This window comes from Homo sapiens, chromosome 14 (assembly GCF_000001405.40).
Source record: "Homo sapiens chromosome 14, GRCh38.p14 Primary Assembly".
NCBI classification, from domain to species: domain Eukaryota; kingdom Metazoa; phylum Chordata; class Mammalia; order Primates; family Hominidae; genus Homo; species Homo sapiens.
This window is the reverse complement of record NC_000014.9, coordinates 65448814-65466547: the sequence shown is the minus strand read 5'-3', so window position 1 is coordinate 65466547 and position 17734 is coordinate 65448814. Positions and strand designations below refer to the sequence as shown.

The following is a 17734-nucleotide window of genomic DNA, read 5'->3' as shown; positions in this document are numbered from 1 at the left end:
GAACTCCTGACCTCAGGTGATCCACCCGCCTTGGCCTCCCAAAGTGCTGGGATTACAGGCATGAGCAACCATCCTCAGCCTAAAAGATAATTTTAAATTAAGTATAATTTATATTTTAAAACAGGAGACAAAATGGAATTATATAAAATGCTGAATTACAATGAAGAAGGCAGAGACAAAGTGAAAGACGAAAAAAGAAAGAACAAGGACAATGAGTAGAAAACAGTTATAAATACAGTAGACATTAATCCAACTATATCAATAATTACTTTAAACATCTGTGGTCTAAATACACCAGTTAAAAGACACATGCTGTCGAGAGCAAATCAAACGACAAGACCCTACTATATGATGTCTACAAAAATCCCACTCTAAATATAAAGATGAAGACAGATTAAAAGTAAAGGGATGGAGAAAGATAGGCTATGCTAAACCTAATCAAAAGAAACCTGGAATGGCTATAAAAATTTCAGAAAGAGCAAGCTTAAGGCCAAGAAAAATTATCAGTGATAGAGGGGCATTACCTAATAACAGATGGTCAATCTGTTATTATTCACCAAGAAGACATAATCATCTTTATATGTATGTACCTAACTACAGAGTGTCAAAATACATAAGGTATAATAAAAACTGATAGAACTACAAGGAGAAACACATGAATTCAATATCATAGTTGGAGCTTCAACAACCCTCTATCGGTAATTGACAGAAGCAGAAAATCAGGAAGGTATCATAGAACTGATGACACCATCAATCAACTAGATCTAACTGACATTTATAGAACACTTCATCCAGCAACAGCAGTATACACACTCTTCTCAAATCCACAGGGAACATTTCACAAAGAGAGACTACAAAATATACCTTAACAAATTTTAAAGAATAGACACCATACAAATAGACACACCACAATGGAATTAAACTAGTTAAACAAAAACATAGCTGGAAAATCTCAAAATATTTGGAGATGTTTAAACAGCTCACTTACAAATAACTCGTAGATCAAAAAAATAGTCTTGAGAAATTATAAAATATTTTAAACTAAGTGTACATGAAAATAAAACACCAAAATTTATGGCCGGGCACAGTGGCTCATACATGTAATCCCAGCACTTTGGGAGGCTAAGGCAGGAGGATCACTTGAGGCTAGGAGCTCTAGACCAGCCTGGGCAACATAATGAGACCCCATTTCATAAATAAGTAAGTAAGTAAGTAAATAAATGTGGGATGCAGCAAAGCAGGACTAAGAGATTAATTTTTAGCATTGAATGTATATGTTAAAAAAGAAGAAAGGTAAAATTAATCATCTAAGCTTTTAATTTAGGAAACCAGAAAATGAACAAATTAAATCCAAAGGAAGCAGAAGAAAACAACAAAAATCAGAGCAAAATTGAAAACAGGAAAACAAAGAAAATCAACAAGACTCAAAGCTGGTTCTATGCCCTTAAATTTGATAACTTAGGTGAAATGGACCAATCCCTTAAAAGACACAATCTACCAAAATTCACACAAGAAGAAACAAATAATCTGAATAAGCCTAAATCAATTTTTAAAACCTGAATAAATAATTAATAATCTTCCAAAACAGAAAGCACCACACTCAAGATAATTCATTCGTGAATTCTATCAAATATTTAAGGAACAGATGATACCAATATTCTACAATCTGTAGAAGCAGAGTGAGCACTTCTAACTCATTCTCAGAGGCCAACATTACCCCGATCATAAGCCCAGGCAACAGCCTTACAAGAAAGGAAAATTACAGAACAATATCTTTCATGAACACAGAGGCAAATGTTCTCAAAAATCTCAGCAAATCACATTATACACCACGACCAAGTAGAGTATATTCCAAGTATGCAAGGTAGGTTCAACATCTAAAAGTCAATTAATGTAATCCAGGAAACAGAAAAAAAAAATCATACAATCAGATCATATCAATAGATGCAATAAAAGTATTTGATAAAATTCTACATCAGTTAATAATTACATGTTCTCAGCAAACTAGAAATAGAGGAGGATTTCCTCCACTTGATAAATAAAATTTACAAAAAACTTACAGCAAACACCATACCTAATGGTAAGAAACCAGATCCTTTCCCCGTAGGATCAGGAACAAGGCAAGGACTTCCCTTCTTACCACTCCTATTCAACATCATACTGGACATCCTAGCTAATGCAGTAAAACAAGAAAAGGACATAAAAGGTACACAAATTGAGAAGAAAGAAATAAAACTCTCTATTTGCAGATGACATGATCATCTATGTAAAAAAAAAAAAAAAAAAAACCCAAAGTACTGACCAACAAACTCCTGGAAATAATAAGCAATTACTACAGATTGTAAGATAAAAGGGGGAGATATTTGGGAACTCTCTGTAAGAAATTACAATTTCTCTGTAAACCTAAAACTGCCCTAAGAAATAAAAATCTATTTTAAAAAAACTCCAATTAAACAACTTTCACAGTAATACATTAATCCAGTATAGGTGCTTAAGAAAAAATATGTGTTCAACACGGTTTTCCTCCTTTGTTTCCTTTTTTCCCCAGTGGGGCTGCAGGGGTGGCTGGGGGAGCCAGGGAGAATCTCTCTAACTTCTCAAGCATCTTTGAGTCCAACAAAACACAACATGGAAAGTGAAGACTATACACCATAAAAGTGAATAATTCAAACACATCCATACCATCTTTTTCAATCTTTACCAATTCATAATTCTCTGAAACTAGAAAATATTTCTTACAAGTTGGAGGAACCTTATTTTCTTGGTAATATAAGTATACTGACTCCAAAACCTAAAATGAGAAGGAAAAGTACAAGGAACAGAGTTTAATCCAAGCTTGGATGATCAGCCACCATGGCCCCAGGAATGAAGAAAAAAAGAAAATCTTCCCAACAATCATCAAAACAGCCCACACCAAAAGTTCAAGTTACTTTCTGAGTAACTCCTTAACATTCTTTTCTTTAACACTAAGAAAATATATTAGCCAGGCACGGTGGCTGACTCCTGTAATCCCAGCACTTTGGGAGGCTGAGGTGGGGAACTGCTTGAGCACAGGAGTTCAAGATCAGCCTGGGCAACATGGCAAAACTCCATCTCTACAAAAAATGCAAAAAATTAGCCAGGCATGGTGGTGTGCACCTGCAATCGCAGCAACTCAGGAGGCTGATGTGGGAGAATCACCTGAGCCAAGGAGGTCAAGGCTGCAGTGAGCCGTGACTGCGCCAGTGCACTCCAGCCTGGGCAATAGAGTGAGGCCCTGTCTCAAAAAAATTAATAAAGAAAGATAAAAAATTCTCCTACTCTTTTAATTGACTAGAATAGAAATGTGAATAGAAATATGATAGAGGTATATCTTTTTATTATTGTAATTATGTCTATTTAATTTCTATATTCTGTCTGTTTTAACACATTTTATTTCAGGTATTGCTGGAGTGTTACTGCTAATTCTATATTCTAATGTATCTTCTAAAATTAATTAAATACATTACCATTGTTACAACATGTAGTGAGAGTCTCTGAATTGCCCAAATATCCACTATGAAAACACTTAGTACAATTTGTGTGTGATGGAAGGGCTACATACAGGAAGATCCTTAAGTTAAGTGGTGAGACAATCCTATCTCCCCCTGGTATATGGTTTTGAATTTCTTCCATATGGAATTAATAAAAATCCGTCCTTTCTCCTACTTCAGTAACTTTTGTCCAGATCTAAAAACATTGGTTCAACCTGTATTTATACTTATCATCAATATGTAGTCATTGTTCATTTGTAACTTCAAAGAACAAGCACATACATGACCACAGGGGGTTTTGGTAGTACCAAAGAATTTTTCAGTGCCCACAATATCTCTGTGCAGTAATTATTACATACTTTCAACATGATTCAAACAAAGAATTCAAATACGATACTACAGTGACCTATTTAAAACGCAAAGAAAATTCAATAGCACATGATTCACTTACACCTAGAATTCTAACACCATGCTCCACCTCACAGTACTATTACCATTCTCTAGTAAGAATTTTTCTAAAATCTCTTGACCACAAGAATGACATGACAGACAAACGTGGGCAATGAAGGGGGAAGGGGAACCACATTCTCATATTCACTTCAGGAAAGGTTATTTCATTTTATGAACTCAGCCTGAGAGTGCAGCATTTTTCTAACTTTAAGTGACCTGAAGAATGCTCTTCTTCCAAATACACTATTCAAGTTGAAAAACAAAATGGTAAGTCAGAGAGATCAGGGCAAACATCATGTTTACCTAATGTCTTCATTAATTAGCTTCACCCAAATAAACAAATTAATTTACGCAAGCTACATTCACAAGTTAGAGCCTATCTGATTAGCACTTAAAGCATTTTCTATTCCCTTTTTGTGACTCCAACAAGACTAATATTAATACAGTATGTAGCAGCCACTCAACATTATAAAACTTCAGAATGTGAGAACTAGAAATGTCTTAAAGATCATTTGGTTTACTCTTCTCTTCCTCAGGCCTCAAATTTTATCTATGAGGAAATTGAAACAAACCCAATAGTCCCACAGACTGTTCTTTTGGCACAAAAAGTATCAAAGAACTGAAACCAGATCACCCTACCAGATGCCAGACCCCTCATTCACCATTATTGCTTCCTCGCCCCTCCTCCCAAGTTCCTGTTTTCTTACACATTGTTAAAATCTATGTCTTCCCTGCTATATAAACCCTGGTTTTAGTCAGTCAGGGAGATGGAATTGAGACCAAGCTCCCATCTTCTCAGCTGCCGCCCCTGATTAAAGCCTTCTTCCTTGGCAATACTCATTGTCTCAGTGATTGGCTTTCTATGCAGCAAGCAGCAGGACCTAGACTGAACTCCTGGTGTATCAGTAACAAACTAATAGCTAAAGAAGACAGTAACTTTCTTAAGCTAGTTATTAACAGAGCAGAACTAAGGTACTCTGACTTCCAGACTGGTTTTCTTTCTACTATACCATGCTGTTGTCAAGAACTCTGAAGAACCTAAGATTTTACCCTACATGCAAGCTAACATCAGTCTGCCATAGTTTCATGGACACTGAGAGCAAACACTGTACCTACATACAGTTTGGGCACTGAAGACTGAAACTACATGTCCCCTATACTGAGTTAAATAAGTGTCCTCCCAAAATGTGTAACGGCTAGAAATAGGGTCTATGCAGATATAATCAAGTTGATATAATGTCATTCTGGATTAGGATGGACCCTAATACATGACTGGAATCCTTATAAGAAGGACATTTGAACACAAACACACACAGAGGGAAGATGTCATGTGAATACTGAGGTAGAGATTGGAGTTATGCTACCAAAAGTCAAGAAATACCAAGGATTTCTGGCATCCACCATAAGCTAAAAGAAGAAGGAAAGGATTCTTACCTAGAGCCTTCGGAGAGAGTGTGGCCCTGCCAACACCTTGATTTCAGACTGCTAACCTCCAAAACTGAAAGAATAAATTTCTGCTATATTAAGCCACCCAGTTTACAGTGCTTTGTTATAGCAGCCCTAGAAAACTAATACACACACACACAGCTTTCTAGGTACATTAACATGACTTTACCAGTCCACTGTCTTAATTAGCATAACTGCTATTCTAGGAGACAGCAGAAATATAATGTGATTGTTCATTACAGACCTTCTGGAAAGACCCATCAACTCTTCGGCAGTTTTCAAAATCTTACTGTTTCCACCAAACCTAAACTGTTTTATCATGATACCTACCCAATCCTAATCAAGCCTCATCGCCACCACTGAAAGATCCAACTTAAAACAAACTTCAAATTCTCAAATTTTGACCTCTCTAAGACCCTACCAAAGATTTTTTTAGGTGTTCTCCCTTACCACAATAAGCAATGAACTCAGCTTTGTTTTATCAATAGGATGTGTTAGTAGTGTAGCTGGTAAGCTAGCATCAGATAATCCTGGCAGAAGTTATGACACTCCTAGATCAGAAACAAAGAACAGTTTACTACTCACAACAATAGCATAGACAGAGTACCATATTTTTTACTGATTCCTCAAGCTCTAATTCCTAAAGGCCAATGAAAGGAAAACCAAGTGCACATACTGTGGGTTGCATTACAGGACAAGAAAACCTGAGCTTAATGAAACTCCAATCTTTAAAAGGAGCTACAAGCAAATATGCCCAACCTTTTTCCCTAGAGAGATTATCTTAATTATCCTGGACAGCAAAGAAATGTGCCATCTGTCCTAATGGAAGCACTATTTCTATCTTCCTAGGCTGTTTGCTAAACAGATTTCTTTGAAAAAGATAGCCCCCAACAAAAGCTATCAGTACTCTGCTCAGCGAATGTGCAGAAACAGAAGAGATCCATGGATTGAAGAGAAATGTCTCTCAATACCTATTTCCTTTGTCCTAAAAGACTAAAAAGATTCTTAGAGAATCAAGACAAAATTGGTACAATACAATGAGATGTTTCCAGAGAAAACATATAGAGCAAAAAGGTGTACTTTCTTCTCTCAAAAATCTGTATAAACTAAAACCACTTCAGCTGAGTCACAATCTTATAACAAGCCTATCTATCAAATATCCAAAAGTAAATACTTATATGTTTGGATCCTATTTTCATTGTAAAATGTTCCATTTCTAGAAAAGTATCTCAAGCAAGTTTTTATTTTTATTTTATTATTCTTTAACTTTAAAATAAAATGCTATTTTTTTTATTATTTTTTGACTGTTTCTCACAGTGAATCAAGTTTTATCAATAATTTCCAAGGCCTGGCAGTGTTCGTGAAATAAAAGAGACTAGCAGTTTTAAACTTTACCAATTATACCTGACTTTAATGTGGACCTTAACGCCTTTTTTTAAAATAAGAAAATAAAGACCCAAGAGCTGAGATGGTAAGCTTTTACTCATACAGCTATCTGGAGACATTGCAGTGTAGGGTTCATTTTACTCATCATTCTCTCTCTCTCTTTATCCTGGGATCATTGCTTAACCTAATGGGTGGGATTAAGTTAAATTACTCAATTTAATATTATTTACAAAAACTCAGTTTTTGTTTATTTCTTTTGCAGTTAATTTTAAGTTAAACAGGCTACCATTTAAACGGTACAAGACAGAATCTCAATTTTCAAATATGCAAAAAATATGCTGATATTGAATATATAGCTAGAAAAATCTAAATTTTTTTATTTTGTAACAACCTCAAAATATTTTATGTGAATTAAAGCATATTAAATTTAAATTTAAATATGGCTTTTATTTTCATAAATACTTTACATAAATATTGACCTTAGAATTGTGGTTTAAAATCTAAATACCCTAAAATCCTGAAGAAATCATGACTTCTGAGCACAGCATTATCTTTGACTCTGTGTTGTATTTGCCCGTTGAACAGATAACTATTCTCTTTCAGAAATAGCTCTAAAATGCTCTGACTCTGCCTAAAATGTTTTGTCTATTTAAGAAATGTTCTCTGACCGGGCACAGTGCCTCACATCTATAATCCCAGCACTTCAGGAGGCTGAGGTGGGCAGACCGCTTGAGCCAAGAAGTTTGAGACCAGCCTAGCCAACATGGTGAAACCCCATCTCTTCTAAAAATACAAAAATTAGCTGGGCATGGTGACACACATCTGTAATCCCAGCTATTTGGGAGTCTGAGGCATGAGAACTGTTTGAACCCAGGAAGTGAAGGTTGCAGTGAGCGGAAATTGAGCCACTGCACTCCAGCCTGAGTGGCAGAGAGATTCTTGTCTCAAAAAAAAAAAAAAAAGAAAGAAAAGAAAAGAAAGGAAAGGAAAAAAAGGTTTTAAAGAAATGTTTTCTGAGAACACAATACAGCAGGCCACGTATCTACAGAGATACTATGAAAATTACATAATTCATCTAAAAATGTTCAGAAACAAGAAAACAATTTAAAGTTGCAGTAAGTCTTTTAATGTCCAGGCTTAGAAGCTAGAGTCTAAACCATCCTACATTTTCTGAGTCAGAGCATAATACTTTCTCAAGACCTTTTTATTTCTATAACAAATAATGAACTACAGTTTCCTTATAAATATTCAAATAGGGTTTCAAGCTACTTTTTGAGGTCATTAATTTCCCCAAGGCAGAAAGACAGTTTCTATCACTTTCATCCTACATATTCATTCAAGAAAGTTTAAACTGACTTTTCCATGCCCAACCTTTACCCTCTTTAAGTATGTTTTTAATATAGAATTCTAATTTACTTGACTTTTCTAGATGACTTTTGAAGCTACCTATATGAGGCTTGACGTTATTAATCTACCTGTATATTTCTGGTCTACTGAGGGAAGAGAGACCCTCTCATGTTGTTTTATATTGTTTTACACTCAGTACCTGTTTTTTTTGTTTTTTTTTTTTTTGAGACGGAGTCTCGCTCTGTCGCCCAGGCTGGAGTGCAGTGGCAGGATCTCGGCTCACTGCAAGCTCTGCCTCCTGGGTTCACGCCATTCTCCTGCCTCAGCCTCCTAAGTAGCTGGGACTACAGGCGCCCGCCACTACGCCCGGCTAATTTTTTGTATTTTTAGTAGAGACGGGGTTTCACCGTTTTAGCCGGGATGGTCTCGATCTCCTGACCTCGTGATCCGCCCGCCTCGGCCTCCCAAAGTGCTGGGATTACAGGCGTGAGCCACCGCGCCCGGCCTCAGTACCTGTTTTAAGAAAAAAAACAAGGAAGTGAAATCAAAGACAGGCAGCCCGGCACCAGGCCCAAAACCAGGCCTGGGCCTGCCTGGCCTAAACCTAGTAGTTAAAAATCAACTCATGACTTAGAACCCGATGTTACACATAGATTTCAGGCACTGTATTGTGAAACTCCCTGCTCTGTTCTGTTTCACTCTGACCACCAGTGCATGCAGCCCCTGTCACGTACCCCCTGCTTGCTCCAATCAATCACAACCCTTTCATGTGAAATCTTTAGTGTTGTGAGCCCTTAAAAGGGACAGAAATTGTGCACTCAGGGAGCTGAGATTTTAAGGCAGTAGCTTGCCGATACTCCCAGCTGAATAAAGCCCTTCCTTCTATAACTCGGTGTCTGAGAGGTTTTGTCTGCAGCTCGTCTTGCTACACTACCACTATATTCAAGAAGGCTACCTAGTATCTCCAAAATCAGGGAACACCACAAGTTCCAATAGATCCCCTTTCTAATAATTTTACATCATTTCTCTTTCTATACTCAAAATGACCATAAATTGCAAGTTTCTTCCCCTAGCCACAATGTCTGTTAAATTGTGTTCTCATTATGTTTTAATAACATTTTAAAAAAGAAATGCAACCATGGCCTAAAAGGCAATAGTTAAATCATCACAGCGCTTTAACAGTAGCAACAACAAAAAGTAATTTCTATTAGTAAAAAATACATGGGGTCAGGGGATGAAGAAAGGTTGACTAATGGGTACAAACATACACTTAGAAGAAATAAGACCTGGTGTTCAATAGATCAATAGGGTGATTATAGTTAACCTTACTTAGTTGACTGTACATTTCAAAATAGCTAGGGAAGAGAATAATTCAAATTTTCTTAATATAAAGAAAAAATGAATATTTAAGTTAACGGATATTCCAATTACCCTGATTTTATTACATAAAGGTATCAAATTATCACATGTACCCTGAATATAAGTATGTACACCTAACATGCATCAATGCAAAAAAAAATTTTTTTTTTTTTTTTGAGACAGAGTCTCACTCTGTCACCAGACTAGAGTGCAATGGTGTGATCTCGGCTCACTGCAACCTCTGCCTCCCGGGTTCAAGCGATTCTCCTACCTCGGCCTCCCAAATAGCTGGGACTACAGACGTGAACCACCACACCCAACTAATTTTTGTATTTTTAGTAGAGATGAGGTTTCATCATGTTGGCCAGGATGGTCTTGATCTCTTGACCTCATGATCCGCCCGCCTCAGCCTCCCAAAGTGCTGGGATTACAGGTTTGAGCCACCATGCCCCACCAAATTTTTTAAAGAACATAGAGTCACATTTTTTTAATGTATGATTGCAGCAGTTTTATGATCATCAAAAACTAAAAACAGCCTAAATATCCATAAACAGGTATATGAATAAACTAATTATGGTATATCCATAAAATGGAACACTACTCAGCAATAAAAAAGGACAAACTACTGATACACAACTACTGATGCACACAGCAACATGAATAAACCTCAAATATATTATTCTAAGTGAAAGCCAGGATTTAAAAACTACATCTTAGATGATTCCAATTAAATAACATTGGAAAAGGCAAATTACAGGGATAGAAAGCAGATCAGTGATTGCTAGGGATTGAGGTATAAGGAGAGGTTAACTACAAATAGGCAACACGAGCAAATTTGGAAGGTTTAGAGAATGTTTTAATTGTGGTGATATATATTTGTCAAAATTAATAGAATGAACACTAAAAATAAATAAAAATGTTAATGTAGGACTGAAATCTGGACAAGAATACCTTTAAAAGCCAGCTACTAAAAATGTCAGAAATGTTTAAGATGAGTTGCTTATTTTTAGCACCAAATATGCCACACAACGATGCCAAAAGTTCAGTGTACCGCATTCAACCACAACTTGTTTTATCCAGCCCCATAATTTAAAGTACAAAACTATTTAAAAGGAAGTAAATTTTTTTCAATTTATGCAGTGAATATTGTATATAGTAGGCAGTAAGAAAATGTTTCTTAACTAATACACAATTCAACAGAGTTTAGACTGACTTGGCCTTTCTGCTTTACTGGTACATAACATGTAGCTTTAACCACAAAATTATCTATTTCTCAAAATATTAACATATAATTAGAACAGGGAAGTGCTGTCCACAAAATACACTAACCTGAATTTGTCCAGTTAATCAACAAAGGCAAAAAATCACTTTATCTTGAACAAAAAGACCATTAGGGTCATGGATGTCCTCTGAGCAAAAGCAGCAACCTGAAACAAAATAAAAATATATGAAATTCAGCCCTACTCAAGCTTCAGTTAGCATTATTATATAATTTTTTAAATACCTTTAACTTTTCTTTATGTAGCCAGTCATAACATGCAAATTCACTTATTTTGTACACTGACTTATTCTGTAAGCACTTTCCAAATGTCAACAAAAAATGGGTTTTCATTTTGCAAATTATACCCAAACTCAGTAACACTCAGTGGTTTAATTTGCTTCATAGTTCAACTTACAATAAGTTAGCGCTCATATAACTTGCTTTGTGAATATAAAATTCTTTAACTTTGTCTATCTTTTAACATAAAAGGCATTCAGAAGTGTACCTCTTTTCAGACCAAAGCTCAAAATCTTTTGTATTTCCCCTCGATTTTGTATGACACCTCGGTTAGCTACATAACCTAGTTTCTTACTATCTTCTACACAAACTTCCACTAACACCAATTTAATTTTGCTTTCTTTCCATAGAACAATTTGTTTATTCTCAGTTGTCACCCTGCAATACAACATTCCTTTTTTTAAAAAACAGGGATTTTTTTCTCCTTTATCAATCAATGCATATCCATCAACTTTCTCAAAATCCAGCCCCTCTATACCTCCCTGCCTGAGAGCTGACATAATCATTCTATACTCCATTAATCTTCAGTAGAGTATTTTGCTGCCTTATACATGCACCATCTCATGCAGTCTTTTGATCAGGGGCCCTTCTCCTACTTCATTTGTTGCTGCCTCTCCCTCATCCAGTATCATGTTTGGCACACAGTAATCAATATGATTAACTGAAAAGTGAAATGGCCTTAATAAAGATTCGCACATCAAATGTTCACTGAGTGTGTAGTATGCGCAAGTCACCAAGTACAAAAACCCAAGAACAGTACAAAGACACAATATATTCTATAGAAATGTGTGTTTCTGCCACTTGCTTTACTCTTATGTCAACAACATGAGATTTTTCTCTGATTGACATTATTAATTGTGAGAAGCAGTTTTTCTCCAATGACATCAAAGTCTACTGAAAACAATTTTAGGCAATTACAACTAATATAAAAGCAATATCACCAACTTAAACTCCTCCCACCACAAAGGTAACACAACTATTTTCTTTTTTTTTAAGATTTTAAAATTTATTTTGTTTTACTTTATTGTAGAGACTGGGTCTCGCTATGTTGCCCAGGCTGGTATCAAACTCCTGGGCTCAAGTAATCCTCGTGCCTCAGCCTCCCAAAGTGCCGGGATTGCAAACATGAGCCACCATGCCCAGCCTGTATAATGCTTTATTATTTACATTATCTCATACATCTATTTGAAGAAGACATAGTCAACTACTCCCAAAGCCCATAAACATACAATTATTAAACAGCCATCAAGTCTAAAGTCAGCAAAGGTTTATTGTAATTCTTTCCTGTAACTTCACCCAAAAGTCTTTGCCAAACTCCTCAATAATCCAATAGTGTGAAATGTATGCTTCCAGCCATTATGGAATAACTGGTAACAGATTTACCCTCAGATGGTAAGCAACTGCAAAACCAGACAAAATACATGACAGTTTCCAGATAGTGAACAACAATTAGTGTAGATCTGTGTTCCCTGAAACAAGAAAACAAACTAGATAAGGCCTATGACCACCCTGGCTTTCTGCCTAGAGACATGTTCTAGACACCATTGCCAAGAGGGAAATTCAAAGCAGAATACAGCAGTCTTGCTAACTTGAAAAGAACAGAGTTTGGAACAGTGGAGGTGGCAAAAATTACTAGAATGATATACCAGAAAGGAGAAACTTAAGCAGAAAAAAGCTACAGATATGTACATTGGGGTCCACTTGAGTCATCAACTAAATACTAATCTACACATGCTTAGGGTGAAGTTCCATAAAGTCAGACAAAAAACATCCTCCAGGAGCTATAATATGAACAACTCTGGGCTGACACTGAGCTTGGAGACATCTGAGTTCCATCCAGCCACAGCAGAGACATCTCTTTACACTCTAGGCCATAGGTACAGACCTCAGGAGGGCTAAATTTGCCCTAGAATAAAGATGACTCTATAATGATCCCAATAGAGCTTAAAAACAAGCCATGAAAGGACAATCTGATCCTCAATTTAACATCTGTAACCAACAGCCAGAATGGAAAAGTCTCATAATTCATGAAGCATAAAATATTCAGAAGGGTTTTGCCTCAGTAGTGGGGAAAATTAAATTAAGTGGTTACACTTAACAAAGATTAAAAGCAATACCTAAAAGTTAAAAAACACTTTCAAATAACTTCAATACAGACCAGGAAAAAGTTCAAAAATATCTGCAGGCACTAGGGCTGGTGGTACACACCTGTAGTCCCAACTACTCAAGAAGTTGCAACAGGAGGATCACTTGAGCCCAAGAGTTTAATACTGCCATGACCTATGACCATGCTACTGCACTACTGCCCAGGTAACAGAGCAAGACCCCATCTCTTAAAAAAAAAAAAAAGAATATAGGAATATAAAAATGTCCAGCACCCAACAGGGCACAATTTACAGTGTCTTATTTTACATGCCTGATATGCATCAATTAATTAACTAGCAGGTTAAAAAAACTAAGGCAAGAAAACAGAGCCAGAAGGAAAGCTATCAATCAATCAAAACCAACCCAGAAATGACAGGGTTGATAGAATTAGGAGACTAGGACATTAAAAGTTATTATATATCTGTTCCATATGTACTAAAAGCCAGAAGAAAGGTTAAGTATATTAAGACACAGACAAAAAAGACCCAAGTTGAACATCTAGAAATAAAAACTAGAACGTTGGAAGTCCTCTACCTGACATACCTGTTGAATTATGAAGTTTTTTTGTCTGATGGATTCAGGCCCTACTCCTAACCATGTGTGAGCTCTAATTATTATATTATTCCCTCAATTCCTTTTTGGTGGTTCTTCCGCAGCTTCCCATAGTTTCCTTACAGGCATGTATTGATCAGTAGTCAATTGAATTATTGAAAGCAATTTCTACAGATCTGTGAATTTCTGTCTCTTGCAGCTTTCTCCTTTCTCATACTCTACCTTGTGAACTCTAGCTGCCTTGGCCCCCCAATCTCCCAGCTAGCTCTACCTCTTCAATACAGAGAAATCTCTAGGCTCCTCCTGGGTTCCACTGCTTTGTTCCATCCCTACAAACCCTCTCTAGGTGTGAGCTAGAGCAACCGCATGATCTCGCCTAATTTGTTTCCCATCCCTTGGGGATCAATGTCTTTTGCTGCTTGACGGCAAATGTCTTGAGAACTGTGGTTTCATTATTTCGTCCCATTCTTTAGTTGTCTTAGGTGGAAAGACCATCCCTATTAGTCCATCTTACCTGGAAACACTGTATTTTAAAGGGGGACTATGAACTTAATTAACTTTGTGACAGCACTGAATGCTGAAATTTTCTAAAAATTAGATGTATTCAATAAATACCACTTATATGTCAATAAGTTATCCTAAAGCAAAGAAGCATAAATAGGATCTAAGAATGAGAAGGAACTCATATGAAAACAAAATATTACCATAGGAGAAACTAAAGATATTTAAGAAATGCATATTATTGACAGGAACGGGGGACAGAGAAATTCTAGGCAGAAAATGGTGGGTCCCCAGCATAACCTCACCCTCAAGCCAAAAAGCCTGTAACCATGGCCCAAAGTGAGAGCTTATATCTCCGTTTTCTGGCTCAAATGTTGCCTTTTCCTAAATCACCCACGGTCCTGCCCCATCCCATCCTGTGCCTATAAAAACCCCAGACTCAGCTGGTAGACAAGACGATGGCTAGATATTGGAGAGAGGTGGCTTGACTTCAGAAGGACAGCTTGATGGCATTACTACAGAGAAGAATCTTGCCAGAGATGGCTGAACTTCCCAGGGGAAGATTACCTACCCACCCTGTCCCCTTTTCAGCTTCCATTTCCACTGAGAGTCCCTTTCATTTCCAATAAAATCCCCTGCATTTACCATCTTTCAATTCATTCATGTAACCTCATTTTTCCTGGGCGCCAGACAAGAGCTCAGGAGCCACAAGTGTGGATACAAAAGGCTTTCACAGTGGCCCTTTGGCCTCACTGGCAGAGGGCTGCCACTTCACAAAAAGAAGGCAAAGGGTCCACTGAGTTGTTAGCACTTAAGCTGTCCACGGACAGCGGAGCTAAAAGAGCACTGTAACACACCCTCTGGAGCTTCAATAGTCGCAGGCACCCGCTCCTGGACACTGCTGTGGGGCCTGCAGAGAGTTCACTCCTGCTGTGGCTAAAGCATCCGGCCGTTCCGGCACCCACTCATATGCGCACTCCCTCCTGCGAGGGGCAGAACGCAGTGGGTCTGAGTGAGTGGAGGTTGAGCCCTCTGGCGCCAAAGCAGCCGGCTGGTTTCAGTACTCATTCACTCCAATTCCCACACCCGTTCACTTGTGCACTCCCTTCCACAAGGAGTTAAGAGTGGTGGGCTGGGGCAAGGCGCAGTGGCTCATGCCTGTAATCCCAGCACTTTGGGAGGCTGAGGCGGGCGGATCACGAGGTCAGGAGATCAAGACCATCCTGGCTAACACGGCAAAACCTCGTCTCTAACAAAAATACAAAAAATTAGCGGGGTGCGGTGGCAGGCGCCTGTAGTCCCAGCTACTAGGGAGGCTGAGGCAGGAGAATGGCGTGAACCTGGGAGGCGGAGCTTGCAGTGAGCGCCACTGCACTCTAGCCTGGCCGACAGAGGGAAGACTCCCTCTCAAAAAAAAAAAAAATAGGGTGGAAGGGTGGTAGGCTGGGTAAACAAGGCACCCCTGTTGCGAGTCCCACAAAGGAGTCAGGGAAATATCCTGCTTCATTACGTAATAGAAAAAAATGATTAACCATGAAAGTTTACTTTCATGATAGGTGAATATCAACAGCATCCAAAGAATAAACAATATCCAGTAATCAGCAATAATAAAAACCCAACGTAAGAAAAACCCCATTTTAGAAAAGATACAAACTGAAAGATTTCTCTGAGAAAAAGAAATATACCTGAAAAGATACAACCAAGAGTGCAGCATATAATATCATATCCACATCAAATATATGGAAGAAATTATTCACTTAAGAAGAAATGCTATACTTGCTTATCGTTAGTGGAACTAGAATTCAGTCGAACGTTACAAGATCTGCTGTAGACTAACTGAACATGAACATAATAAAGGAAGAGAAGTAAAACGATAAGTATAAGTTTTCAGGAGAAACAGAATACCTATAGAACTAAATAAACATCTTAAGTTATCTCCATGATAGAAAAAAGAAAGCATAAAGAAAGAAAAATGTTAGACTTTAAAATAAAGAAGTATAAAATAAAGAGGCTAGGAATCACAGGTTTTATTTTCAATCTGTAATATTGAACAGAGTCAGTCATTTTTACCCACACCATTAGGAAGAAAGACAACTGTGAGCTAAACTGAAGGTACCCTAGATGAGGAAAGAAAAACAGCAAATGGCCCATTGAGTCTCATCTTCAAAGAAATACATCTTGTTCTAAAAAAGGAAACCACACACACATGCATACATATGCACACAAAATCACATATGAAATGAAGAAGAACCCAAAGTCATGGGAAAACATGTTTAACAGATGACAAAAATTAACTCTATCAGTGGTGAAATTGGTCATTTTTAAGAAAAAGAGAAAAGTACTGTGTTGATAATAAAAGGGCTATTTACCCATAAAAAGTGAAAGCTATAAACATGTTTTAAAAGCTAAGTATGACTCAGGCACTACTGAGTCTTGTAACACTGATGGTCCTAAGGCCATTCTAGGTTTCCCCAAAGCTGGACTTCAAACAGGGAGATGCTTCAACCAAGAAAGTGAGCTTTCCACAGTGAAATAGGGTAAGGCAGGGGTGGCGACAGCCTAGAAGAGGCTGCTCACTATGAAGAATTTTACTATTGAAAATTTATCAACCTAAATATAGTATGGGGTATGCTGCTCATGGCTAAGATAAAAATGCAGTAAGGCAGGACCTCAATGTCTTCTAGCTATGGGCCAATGTTAAGAGAGAAAACACAAGAAGGATGAAAGCCTCAGAAGAGAAAAGCACACTGACAATGGTATATTGCTTCCTTTCCTTCTCCTTTCTCTGTAGTGTTGATATTGATATTCTAAGTGACTCCAGTATATCAACGGAAGCCGCATTCTTTCTGTTTTGGCAAAAAGAAAAATAGTTAAGGTAGGTGATACATACTAACAAAAACTAGAGACTAAAATGGATTCTAGGAATAAGTGAACAAAACGAAAAAGTCTGTTTTGTCTGCTATTTCAACAAAAACGAATTCATCATTGTAAGACTGTCAAAGTCATATTTATTGGTAAGCAAATATTTCCTATAATTATTCTAACAATTAACATTACTTTACAGTAAAATAAGTTATAACTAATTTATTCACTACTCCCCTTCCTTTGGTGAAGTTGTCTACATCATCAACATAAACTAGTACTAAATCAACTATATTAAATTTGGTCTAGTTTCTTACCAATTAAAAGGATCTATTTATTTATTCATAATGGTCTAGGTAAATCTGTCCTAAATTTGTAAGTTCTGTTTGACATTACAAAATCAATTCCCTTGTTTTCTCCCTCCTTCTCAAACCAGACTAATATGCCAAAAATCACTAAAACAATTTAAGTGATTTCTGTCATCCTTAATTCATAAATTCATTCATATAAATAGCTGTGTAAAATCACCTAAAATAAAAAATAATCTGAAAATTATAAAGGAAAATCGTATCAGTATCTATTACAGTCAAGATGCTTTTACAGTCATTATCCTTTC

The 17734-nt window shown here is 37.1% G+C and overlaps 1 protein-coding gene across 12 annotated transcripts in view, besides 2 other annotated features; it reads right to left on the bottom strand.

Moving 5' to 3' along the window:
• The window catches only part of FUT8 (fucosyltransferase 8), a 387280-nt gene that overhangs the window by 277574 nt on the left and 91972 nt on the right, over positions 1-17734 (bottom strand). For 6 of the 12 annotated variants that reach the window (NR_038167.1, NM_004480.4, NM_001371534.1 and 3 more), the window contains one exon: positions 10830-10927. The exons of 2 other annotated variants lie outside the window; for them this stretch is intronic. The gene's annotated coding sequence lies outside the window, so the exon portion shown is untranslated. Of the gene's footprint in view, positions 1-5396; positions 5461-10829; positions 10928-17734 lie in introns of all 12 variants that reach the window. 4 more of the 12 variants (XM_047431179.1, XM_047431177.1, XM_047431181.1 and 1 more) reach the window with 1 other exon arrangement.
• Positions 2600-2769: an enhancer, noted in NCBI's record as "experimental_35208 CRE fragment used in MPRA reporter constructs". NCBI's record gives its function as "activates a minimal promoter by MPRAs in K562 erythroleukemia cells, with activity observed for the non-introgressed 14:65930582 variant allele {active_cell/tissue: K562}" and the evidence as "EXISTENCE:reporter gene assay evidence [ECO:0000049][PMID:34662402]".
• Positions 4494-4543: an enhancer, noted in NCBI's record as "active region_8565". NCBI's record gives its function as "activates an Ori minimal core promoter by ATAC-STARR-seq in GM12878 lymphoblastoid cells {active_cell/tissue: GM12878}" and the evidence as "EXISTENCE:reporter gene assay evidence [ECO:0000049][PMID:35858748]".